The 12,805-nt window shown below is 38.1% G+C and overlaps 1 protein-coding gene across 8 annotated transcripts in view, besides 3 other annotated features; it reads right to left on the bottom strand.

Annotated features, from left to right (window-relative positions):
- AMPH (amphiphysin) overlaps positions 1 to 12,805 on the bottom strand; it is a 247,670-nt gene that overhangs the window by 59,425 nt on the left and 175,440 nt on the right. The window lies entirely within an intron of this gene.
- Positions 10,260 to 10,429: an enhancer, noted in NCBI's record as "experimental_98556 CRE fragment used in MPRA reporter constructs". NCBI's record gives its function as "activates a minimal promoter by MPRAs in K562 erythroleukemia cells, with activity observed for the introgressed 7:38493073 or rs74932767 variant allele {active_cell/tissue: K562}" and the evidence as "EXISTENCE:reporter gene assay evidence [ECO:0000049][PMID:34662402]".
- Position 10,345: a transcriptional cis regulatory region, noted in NCBI's record as "Neanderthal adaptively introgressed variant 7:38493073 (GRCh37/hg19 assembly coordinates) or rs74932767 in the experimental_98556 CRE". NCBI's record gives its function as "modulates activity of the experimental_98556 enhancer by MPRAs in K562 erythroleukemia cells {active_cell/tissue: K562}" and the evidence as "EXISTENCE:reporter gene assay evidence [ECO:0000049][PMID:34662402]".
- Positions 11,146 to 11,315: an enhancer, noted in NCBI's record as "experimental_98558 CRE fragment used in MPRA reporter constructs". NCBI's record gives its function as "activates a minimal promoter by MPRAs in K562 erythroleukemia cells, with activity observed for both the introgressed and non-introgressed 7:38493959 variant alleles {active_cell/tissue: K562}" and the evidence as "EXISTENCE:reporter gene assay evidence [ECO:0000049][PMID:34662402]".

Genomic DNA, 12,805 nt, shown 5'->3' on the forward strand with positions numbered 1-12,805 from the left:
GACAGATTTCATGAGAAACACAAACTACAAATACAAAAATCTCACTCAAGAAAAATAGATACCCTGAACTGCTCTATATCTATTATATAGAAATATATCAAAACAAAAGAAAACACAACAAAACAGAGCCCAGATGAGTTCTCCGATGAATTCTATCAAACCTTTAAGCAACAAATAATACCAACACAAACTTAACCAGCAATTGATTTTCAGTTCAATTCATTCAATACCATTACCCTAGTATTAAATCATAAAAACCCTTTTCTTAAAAAAAACCTATAAATTAATATTCCCCATGAACAGGAATGTAAAAATTCTAGACCGAGCTTTAGCAAGCTGACTAAAAGATACACAGATAAAAAGGATAACATATCATCACCAAATGGGGTTCATCCTAGGACTTCATGGATGGTTTACCATTGGAAAACCAATAAGTATAATTCACCATATTAACAAACTATAAAGAAAACTCATATGATCATCTTAACAGATGCAGCAGAGCATTTGAGAAAATCCACATTAATTCCTGTTTAAAACTCTTTAAGTAGGAATAAAAGGCTACTTCCTCAATCTGATAAAAGCCATCTAATAAAACCTACAAGTAACAAACACCATGTTTAAAAGTGAAATACTACATGCTCTTCCTCTAAGATCAAGACAAGGGTGACTGCTTTACTACTTTTACTCAATATTATTCTGGTGGTACAAGAATGAAATAAGGTAGGAAAAATAAATAAAAGGCACCGAGATTGCAAAGAGAGAAGTAAACTTTCTTTATTCATAAAAGATATGATAATATATATAGAAAAATCCAATAAAATCTACAAAAAAGCTATAGAAACTAATAATTCAGTTTAGCAAAGCTGCAGACACAGCATCAATATACAAAAACCAGTTGTACTTATAGACAATAGTGTGAACAACCAGAAAAAACAAATTTAAAAACATGATTTATAATAACAATATAAAATACTTATGGATAAATCCAACAAAAGATGTATAATGTCTGTACATTGCAAACTGTAAAACATGGCAGAGAGAAATTAGAGAAGACCATTAATAAAGGGAGAGATATACTGCGTCTATGCGTCAGATGACTCACATATCATTGATCTATAGACTCGGTGCAACATGATTCAATATCTGTACTGCTTTGAATAGTATTTTCCCCCACCCCCCAAATTTCATGCCTATCTGGAACCTGTAAGTGTGTCCTTAACTGACAACAGGGTCTGAACCAATGTAATAAAATAAAGATTTTGATTAGAGTGGGTCCTAATCCAATGACTGGTGGCCCTGTAAGAAGAGGAAAATTTGGATATGTAGACGCAAGGAGAATGCCATGTGAAGACACAGAGCCCACAGACACACAGGGAAAATGCCATGTGATGACCAAGGTGCATATTGGAGTACTGGAGTGATGTATCTGCAAGCCAAGGAACCCCAAGGACTTTCAGCAACCACCAGAGGCTAGGAGAGAAGAAAGGATTGATTCTCCCCTAGAGCCTTCAGAGAGAGCATGTCCCTACTGACACCTTGATCTCAGACATCTAGCAGCCAAAACTGTTAGAGAATTTTTTTGTGGGGGGTTTTGTATTTAAGCCACTCAGTTGTGGTACAGCAGCCCAGGAAATAATACAATATCAACTTACAGTTGATTCTGAAGTTCATATGGAAATTCAAAGGACCTAGAATAGCCAAAACAACTCTGAAAAAGAACAAAGTTGAAAGACTAACCCTACTGACCCTGATTTCAAGATATCATAAAATGACAATAATCAATATAGCATGCTACTGGCACAAAGGTAAGCTAAAAGATCAATGGATAATCACATGGTCCAGAAATATATCCATATATATACATATATATATATATATATATACACACACACACACGGTATATACATATATATACATATATAGATGGTATATACATATATATATACACATATATACATGGTATATACATATATATTAGATAGATAGATAATTGGTTGTCTGATTTTCCACAAAGGTACAACTAATTTTCCACAAAGGTACAAAGGCAATTTAGTAGAGTAAGAATACTTTTCAACAATGGAATATTCATTTCTAAAGAAATGAATTCCAACACACACTTTGTACCACATAAAAAAATTAACTCCAAATTGGTCACAGGCCTAAATGTAACACCTGAAAATAAAACTTCTAAAAAATATTAAGAGAAAACCTTGCGATTTTTATCTTGGGTTAGGCAAAGACCTTTTAGATGTTACATGAAATATATAATCCAGAAAAAAATGGATAAATTGGATTTCATCAAATAAAACATTTCTACTCTCCAAATTACACTGCCAAGAGAATGAAAAGAAAGCCACATGCTGGGAGACAGTATTTGCAAATCTTATCTAATGAGGGAGTTGTATACAGAATGGATAAAGAGGTCCCAAAACTCAGTTAAAAAATAAATACACGAGAAAAAGTTTTTAACAGGCACTTCACCAAAGAAGATATATGGGTGTTAAATAAGTACATGAAAAAATACTTAACACCACTAGTCATTTGGGAAATGCAAATTAAATCAAAATGAAATACCACTATCACTTACTAGAATAGCTAAAATTAAAAACACTAACCGATACGGTTTGGATTTGTGTCCCCACTCAAATCTCATGTCAACTTGTTATCCCAGTGTTAGAGGTAGGGTCTGGTGGGAGATGACTGGATCATGGGGGCGGAGTTTTCATGAATGGTTTAGCACCATCCTCCCTTGGTACTGTATAGTGAGTGAGTGTCAAGAGATCTGGTTGTTTAAAAGTGTGTTACACCTCCCTCCTCTCTCTCTTCCTCCTGCTCCTGCCATGTTAGACACCTGCTCTTGCTTTGCCTTTGCCATGAATAAAAGCTCGCTGAGGCCTCCCCAGAAGCAAATGCTGCCATGCTTCCTGTAAAGCTTGCAGAACCATAAGCCAATTAAATCTCTTCTCTTTATAAATTACCCAGTCTCAGGTATTTCTTTATAGCCATGTGAGAATGGCCTAATACATTAACCATGCCAACTGTTGGCAAAGATGTGGAAGAACTAGAACTCTTATGCGATGCTGATGAAAATAGAAAATGGTACAAACACTTCAGAAAATCTGTCAATTTTTTAAAAAATTAAATTTATTCCTAACATATGATCTAGCTAGTTTATCCCTAGGTATTCGCCCAAGAGAAATGAAAGCATGCATGCACACAAATATTTGTATACAAGTGCTTATAGTGCCTTTGTTTATAATAGTCAAAAATTGGAAACAACTCAAACATCCATCAGATAACTTGTGATATATCCATACAATGGAATACTACTCAATAAGGAGGAATGATATGTGCTACAACATTAATGAATTTCGTAATCCAAAAACTATGCTTTCTGATACTATATGATTCCATTTATATAAAATTCTAGAAAATGCAAACTAATGTATAGCAACAGAAAGATGAGTGTTTGCCTAGAGATGCTGGCGCCAATGGGGAGGAGCAAGAGAAATTAAAAAGTGGCTCAGAAAACTTCTAAACTTCTTGGGGTGACATATATTCATTATCTTGATTCTGGTAATGGTTTAATAGTATATACATATGTGCAAACTCATCAAATATGTGCATATGTAAACATGTACAGTTTATTGTAGATCAATCACACATCAATAGAGCTTACTAATAACATTAAAAAAAATCTAATAGTGGGAGATGGGTTAAACCTACCATAGCACATTCTCTTAACACAGTGCTCTGCTGCTATTTAAAATAATAAAATAAATACTAAATTGACATGGAAATACTTTTGTTATATTTGTACTAAAAATCATAAATTAAAAACCTGACATAGAATGATCACATTTCCAAAAATATACATTTTGGTTACTATTTTTTTTTTTTGTTTGTTTGAGACGGAGTTTCACTCTTGTTGCCCAGGTTGGAGTGCAATGGCACAATCTTGGCTCACTGCAACCTCCGCCTCCTGGGTTCAAGCGATTCTCCTGCCTCCGCCTCTCAAGTAGCTGGGATTACAGGCATGTGCCACCATGCCCAGTCAATTTTGTATTTTTAGTAGAGACAGAATTTCTCCATGTTAGCCAGGTTGGTCTTGAACTCCCAATCTCAGGTGATCCGCTCACCTTGGCCTCCCAAAGTGCTGGGAGTACAGGCATGAGCTACCACGCCCGGCCACATTTCAGTTACTATTTAAATGGAAAAAAGTGGCATTTTACACACAAAATTAGTAAAAGTGAGTTTTGCTGGGGAATAGACTTTTACTTTTGAAGTTTTACTTTTTGCTTCTCTGTAATTTACTATTTTTTTACATTAACTATGCATCCTTTTGGGCATCATTTTTATAAGCATATCAGGTAAAAGAGATTTCAATATATAACTATAGCCATAAAACATTTAGTAGTGATGCATCTGTAGGTAGTTTGCAAGTATTTGATTGACCCAGAAATCTAGCCTCCAGAGCACACACACAACACATTTTCTGAGGATCTTAACCTTTAGAATTTGAATAAAATGTATAAAATCTGTAAACACCTCAAAAAAACCACTTAGAAGTAAAACATATAGTCTCCAAATCATCCTCATGGCTGCATGCAAACAGACAGATAAACACACACACACACACACACACACACACCCATACACAAAATTTCTTTAATCATAACACAGTATTATAGTAAGCCAGATTACCATGAGGGCATAGAGATTTTCATCTTTTCTTCTTCTAGAGATTTTCATCTTTTATTCTTTCATTAAACATATTTTGAAAACCTTTACTATATCCTAAGTATTGTGCTGGACACTTGTGACTTCCCAATGAGGCAAAAGAGGTAGAGTAGGAAGCTTAAGACAGAGAGGTTAAATAAAATCTTTAGGAACAAGGCCAATCAGAAGTTATCTTTTATGTAATAGAAATACCTTTCATGTAAAAGTCACAATTTACAATTTCTAACAGTGAGTAAAGTTTTAGCATTTCATCAACAATTACAATGAAGCAGTGGCCTAGGAAAGTTTACCTTCGTGGTTAGAAGCTTATAACAAGATTGCTCCAGATGGGTACATTACAGTTAATGTGAGTCATATAGCACATGGACAGGGTTCAAGTGCTTTATATTGCAGTCTTAGAATGGAAAATCGTTCAGTCATTTAAAATGATGTTGCCAAGTATTTGTTCCACAAAGTTTATTGTAGTATACTAGTCCTTCCTTATTTGGAGGAGTTATGTTCCAAGATCCCCAGGGGATGCCTGAAACCACAAATGGTACAGATAGTACTGAACCCTATACACACTATGTTTTTTCCTATACATACATACCTATGATAAAGTTGAAGTTATCAATTAGGCATAGTAAGAGATTGATGACAACAGCTAACAGTAAAATAGAACAATGATAACAATATACTGTAATAAAGGTGAATGTAGTGTGAATGTGAATATAGTCTCTCGCTCGCTTGCTCTCTCCAAATATCTTACTGTTATGTAGTATTTTTGGATCATGGTTGACCATGGGTAACTGAAACCATGGAAAGTGAAACTGTGGATAAGGGGAGACTGCTGAACAGAGAATTAAAAGGATAGTATAATGCAGATCCCTTTACTCACAATCTAGACCTATCGATTGTTCTCTCACATTTGCTTTATGTGCATACCTATATTTACATAATCCTGAAATGCTCTAGGAATGAGTTGACACACAATAAACTAGACCTTCTAGGAAATTGTTTTCCTACTTTGTTTTGTTTTGACTTTGTTTTTTATTAGAACAAGTTGGTAGGCTGCAAAATCATTCCTAGTGTAGCACGTGGGTTTTGTTCATTGCTTTTACATATATTATGACTAATTGTATAAAGGCTGACAGTCATGAGAATAGAGTCAGCAAGGAAGAGGGATAGGGCCTATGCTTATAATGAGGTTCTACTCTGACTAGTGGAAAGACAGATGACTAAACTGGTTGAGTAAAGGCCCTCCTACCACTATATCATGGTATTTACCAATAATGCACTGATATGTAACAACCTGAAGAACTTTGCTAATATCAACACTCAAACGAGTTCTAGAGAACCTGCATCCTGGATACTAAGGATAGAAAGAGTGATATCGATTTGTTCATTTACTGAATGCCCGGTACTGCTCTCTTTCGGGTGCTTACAATGCTGTCACACATAGCCTACAGCATTCTGCTTTCCACTTCTGCACTAGGAGAGGCAAGGTTCAGCAGAAAGACGGCAGGTTTGCTCTTCTAGAAAGTAGGACTAATGACATGTAAATCACAGGATTGATGTCAAGGTTAAACTGAATGAGACCTTGCAGAAAGATATTTAGTAGCTTTCCCTGTTCTGTAGACAGAAAAAGCCTAGGCACTGTTAGCAGCTCTGGAGTCAGAACCTTGAAAGATAGTGAAGCCTAATGACCCAATGATTTTAAAACATTTTCAGAATACCAGATGATACATAAACTGCACTGCTTGGTTACTCCTGCTCAAGGAATGGAACAATGATGTTGGTAATCCACCAGGGCAATGAACTGACTAAATTTGGGCTTGAAATGCACTGTGTGGTTTTTCTTCCTTCTAATTTTCATCTTACTAATTCTTTCTGTCTTAAAATAATGTTAACATGTTTACTTTGAAAAATAGCAAGAGAAAGAAGAGGCAGCTGGTCCAGAAATATGTTATGTTGAAAAGCCAGTGTGGTATTTAGAACCAGGTTACAGATACCCAGTAAGTGAGAGATGCATATGTTCATAACTGCAGGCTGGCCTCTCAGGATTACATGGGTGAAAAAACCATTTCATGGACTGATTCTGCAAGTTGAATTCTATTTCAGTTCAATTGGCTAGGGAAAACAGCATGATTTAATGAACTTAACAAGTAAGATGCAGTATTAGGCTGGAAAACAGAGACATAAGGGTAGAAAAGCCAATGGTGCTCAATTGGTCCCAACACTCAGGATTGAAAGGCTGTGCTCATGTCTGCATGGGAGCATGGTAGGCATTCCTATGGCGTGATAAGCAGGGCTTGGAGAAATAAGCTTGGATGTTCAAGGGATAATTCCTCTGGATTTGTAAAGGGGAAATCTTTGATCAGAGAAAATATGCAATATCATAGTTGGAGAAAGATTTAGGAAAAATAGTTGGGGGTATCTGCTATGAAAAAATCCTGAGACAGGCAATATTTTCTTCCTCTCTGCCACTGGACACAAAGATAGACTCTGGCAAAGAGGGACCCTGCCCCAAGCCCTGAATCTAAGGGGACCGTCATGCTTTTGAGCACCTTTCTTACAGTTTCCTAAGTCTTCCTCTGGCAGAAGGGACCAGCTGCAGCTGCAGTGCCATCTGGTCAGGGCATCCTGAGAGCCTGTACCAGGACTGGGCTTTGGTTGCCATATCTCCCCTTCGGAGCACTCCCCAACACTACTCCATGTGTACGGTCGATTATATGCTTCTGGAACTCTAGGGCTCCTATCCACAAAGGTGTTGTGAGCATGAAGATGGGGCCTGTTTCCAGGAGGGTGAGTGGTAAGATGGTGAGACTGTTCTTTTTGGTCAGCTTGGCATTTCACTTATGGAAACCCCTGAGACTGGCCATCAGAATGTTGCTGATAAGCTTATTTCAAGTGACTCCAACTTTTTATATGGAAGAGGTCCCCAGCAAAAAATATTTGCTCAGGGCCATAATCCTAAAGGGAGGGTGAACATTGGATTTAAAATCCAGTCATCAAGTTAGAAGAAAAGCCAATCCAAAACACTTTCTTTTTTTTTTTTTTGAGACAGGGTCTCGCTCTTGTCACCTAGGCTGGAATGCAGTACTGTGATCATAGCTCACTGTAACCTCGACCTCCTGGGCTCAAGAGATCCACCTGCCTCTCAGCCTTCTGAGCAGCTGGGACTACAGACACATACTGCCATGCCCAGCTATTTTTTTTTTTTTTTGTAGAGACAGGGTCTCACTGTGTTGCCTAGACTGGTCCCAAACACCTGGCCTCAAGCAATCCTCCTGCTTTGGCCTCCCAAAGTGTTGAGATTACAGATGTGAGTCACCATGTCTGGCCCCAAAACATTTTCTGAGGACAAGAATTGAAAAAGAGAGAGAAATAACCTTGCACATACACACATATTTATGTGTGCATATACATGTATATATACACATGCACACATATATACGTGTGTATATACACATATATACACATGTATATATACATATATACGTTATATACACGTATATATATGTGTATATACACATGTATATATACATATACGTGTGTATATACACACATACATGATTGCTTTATTTTTTGTCTTGATCTCTTGTTAGAATCATATTTATATGGAATAGATTTGATTTCCAGGGACAAAATATCTTTTAAATCTTTATTTCTTAAAGTGTTTTACCAAACACCCATTTCCTAGGAAAGCATATTTTGGGGGTGAAGGAGAGACTGAGAAATTCTTCCCTAAACAAAGTTGAATGGAACTTTGTTACAGAACTTTTCAGAGCCTTAAACATGCCGATGTAAACTGTGAAAAATCAAAAGGGATGTAGCCCCTCAGTCTCATGTAAACAGAGACTCCCTTTTCAAAGCATCTAATGATACTAGTTTTCCTCATAAACATGCTTTGGAAAATGCTGTTTTAAAAGAATAATGTAGGGACACAAACACACAAAGAGGAAGGGAAAGAAAAAGAGAGAGAATGGATTTCTAAGTTCTTAGGATGGAAAAATAGGGAACAATTTTTTGGACCTTTGGAAGATCTGTTTTTGTAAACACAAAACCAGAAAAGCAAGTAAACCATTGGGTCATAACCACGGGGCATCTCCCTACAAGCAGATAAGAACATTTACCAGAAAAAATTCTATGCTACATTTAAAGTTTGGGCCATTAGAGGGCTCTCCAGATCTAATGGATTTCTGTCTTCAATCCCAGGACACACTCAGGAGAGAATCATCACCGTGATGGTGCTTGGTGGAGGAGACAAACAAATCCATCTGAGACTGGGTACATTTCAGTCATTACATTTTGAGCTTCTGGGCAGGAATAACACAAATGCTTTTCTTCCCCCATTAAGTGCATGATAAAAATAGCAAGCTGGGGACATAGATCAATCTTCTAAATGTAAATGACTCATTTAAAAAAATTAAAATAAATGTAGACGGATCATCCTATATTGCTATATGTGTCAGAGAAAACCTTTTCAGGTACATCAAAGCTGTCTAGTTTTCAATGCTGTACTTCCTTGCAGTTAGCATCTCATTTTTCCCAGGTATTGTTATTTATTCTCTTTTATCTATTTATCTGTAGATTATCAAATACATTATTGTCTGGATGATACAGTTCATTCACTTATAATACGTAGCTCGACCTATAATCTGATCAACACATCTAAGGTTATAAGCACTCATGTGTATGTGTATGTGTCCAACTACCCTAAATATGGAAGACTTTGAGTCACACTAGTTTTGAAGGGAGCAGTTATGAATGGTCAGTCATAGCACACACTTGACTCAGCTGGGTATTTCTCTGGAATAAATCTATTAATTCACTGTGGTGCTTTGTTAATGGTCACTGATTAGTGCCATGTGGAATCCTGATAACTTTAAACAGTGGCTCCCACAGTGTGGTGCCAACACCAGCAGCATTAGCAGCATTTTCCTCAGAAATGCAGATTCCTGACCTCATCCCAGACCTGCCAAATCAGAAACTGCTGGATGGGCTGAAGTAACATAAAATGGCTATTTATAGCTACAGAGGAACAAGCCACTGAAGAAACTGCCAAGATGCTTCAGGGAGAGACAGCATCTGTATATTTTTAATTAAAGCCAGATTATGTCACTCAATAAACCAGAAAGCAGACAGAAATATAAATCCCTGTTTCACTCCCGCTTTTGACATCTTGACATGAGACAAATGGTCATTTAATCCATGGAAACACTCCAAGTCATACTCTGTGGTCCAGCTGCTAGAGCCATGTCGCTTTTCAGATTTAGAAAAATGGCAGAAACCCCTTTCTGACTCCTCCCCAGATTAGAAGAAAACAATATAAATAAGGCTGTGCCCCCGAAAATGCACTCCTATAATGTCTCTGGTGCTTAGTTCTTCCAAAATTGCCTGGAAGACTGAAGGATGTGACACACAGCCAGTGAGATATAAGAGGTATTGATGGAGAGACACTGAAAGCTCCCACATTCCTTTCCCAGCAGCCTTGGGGTTATGCATAAAGCACTAGCAAAGCCTAGGCAAGCAGACCCGGGAATAGTGTCCTCACAGGAGCTGCAGCTGGAACATGCTTCTGTTTGGAAAGGCACTTCCTCTGCCCCAGTTCTTAACTTTTCCCATCACTCTCACTCAACAGTACCAGCAAAAGCGAATGCTCTTTTAAGTACTTAGGGGACTCTCCTGGCATCTGTAATTTTCAAAAGTGCTTTGATCCTTTTTCCCCCCACCATCAAGTGTCCTTACCTATGAGCCAGCAAATTACAAATACAAAGAAAAAACATTTAAAAAGAAAGAACACTTCTGAACCTCATCTTTACTTCACAATGAGTCTGCATGTCATGTTGTCTCTACTTCAGTTGCCTTGTCTACCAAATGGGGATGTCCTCAGCTAAGCACACAAGGCTTCTAGGTGACCAAAGTCTCTATTTGTGATGGAACTGAGAGGATGCTCTTGGAGGGTCCAGGTCAAAGCAACTGAGTAAGGGTATTGTTGCCTTAAAACACTCCCAGTTCGAAAATTCATGTAGCGAACAAAGAGAATGAAGCTGGGCAGTAGCAAATGCAAAGGGACTGTACAACTTTGGAAATTAGAATTGCTCAAGTTTGTCCCAGGACAACTGGGAGATGCTGGGTAAGATCCTTTGGCACTAAGACAGCTATCCCTGGCGGCATCTCGGTATCCACAGACATACAATCTGGCCATGCACCGATAAACACCATTCTCAAAGGAGCTGCTAAATCACATCTCAAGCCCCAGTTAATTTTATCAAACTCAGCATCTTATGCATACAACAGAAGAAAGAAAACAATAGCTCAAAGCATTTTGCCTATTGATAAGTGTGCTTGAAAAGAATGAAAAATCATGATTTGCCACTGCATTGTGTCTGAGTTTTTATTTTCTGAGGTCCCTATTATTATCAATACACCATCTCTGCTATTATTAATATGATGTGATTATAATCGGCATATTACGCATAGTGTAGTGATTGATGTACTCAGTAATTATAGTACTGCATTAGCACCTCTTGTAAAATGTAAATATTATTCCAGACCCTGAGAACACTGAGAAGAAATAGTATCACCATGACTTCTGTATGGTCTTTTACTTGTAGAAAAAAGAGATAGTTTCAGTGACACTAGAGGCAGCTCTGGAAGTCATGATAATTCTTGAGTCAATTAAAAAAAAAAACACAAAAAACAGCCACTAGCAGGAACAGGCCTGCAAGTAGCTGCGGTGGGATATGTGAACCCAGGTATATTCAAAATCAGTAGGAACACTGACTTTCATTTGCCAATTCATGTAAATAATATGCCCCTGTTGAAGGACAAAAGACTTAAAATTATTCACCTCTTTCAATTTCATTTCCTATCTCTACTAAGAATCAATAGAAGACATAAACATGAAATAATATATAAAGAGATGTTTATCGAAGTGCTGGTGAAGCAACAAAAAAGTTGGAAGCAACTTGTGGCCAATAATCAGGGGTTGGTACAACCAACTGAGAGAATACTATGGGCAAATATGTTTTTGCAAACACAATATTATGACATGAAAATATGCTCAATAAAATTAAGTAGAAAGGTCAGAAATACATGATAGTACAGTCTCAATTTTATAGTGCAAAATTGATATATACTCAGTGATTTGGGAAGACTAAAAGAAGACAGACCAAAGGGCACTAGTGGTCATGTCAGAGTGGTATGATTTAAGTGATTATTAAAATTCTTTTTTTTTTTTCCTGAGATGGAGTTTTGCTCTCGTTGCCCAGGCTGGAGTGCAACGGCACAATCTTGGTTCACCGCAACCTCCGCCTCCCACCTCCTCCTGCCTCAGCCTTCCGAGTAGCTGGGATTACAGGCATGCACCACCATGCCCGGCTAATTTTTGTATTTTTAGTAGCGACAGGGTTTCCCCTTGTTGGTCAGACTTGTCTCGAACTCCTGACTTCAGGTGATCTGCCCGCCTTGGCCTCCCAAAATGCTGGGATTACAGGTGTGAGCCACTGCGCCCAGCCTACAATTCTTTATTCTGGGAGATTCTCAAGATGGCCGACTAAAGAAAACTAGTACATGCTTCTTCCACAGAGCGGAAGCAAAATAGCAAGTAGATGTTCACACTGTGAATAGATCACCTAAGAGAGAACACTGGGATTCAACAGAGAAGTGATGGGAAGCACTGAAAGCAAGCAAGGAGAGGGCAGCAAGGCTTTCCTCAGCTGGGATCCAGGAGAAGCTCCCAGATGTGAGGAAAAGATAAGTGAGAATTCCCAGGACTCCACATACCCACCACCATCTTTTTACAACCCTAGCTATGGGAGAACCCCTCAACTGATATGGGCTTCAAGATTTACATGGGTAGCTGCCTAGGGACCACACAGAGACATTGTTCCAGAGAGAGAACTCACAAGGAGCCCCATAGGCAACCATGTCCTGAGTGGCTGCAGCTTGTAGGCATTCTGAGCTAAGCCCCCAAAAGGACTGCATTCTGCTCTGGGGCAGATACTGCCACTGTCATGGCCAGGCCAAGAAGGGAGAGGAGAGGCCTCGCACTTTCATGTACTGCTAGGAGAAATCCTAT

This window comes from Homo sapiens, chromosome 7, assembly GCF_000001405.40.
Source record: "Homo sapiens chromosome 7, GRCh38.p14 Primary Assembly".
NCBI classification, from domain to species: Eukaryota; Metazoa; Chordata; class Mammalia; order Primates; family Hominidae; genus Homo; species Homo sapiens.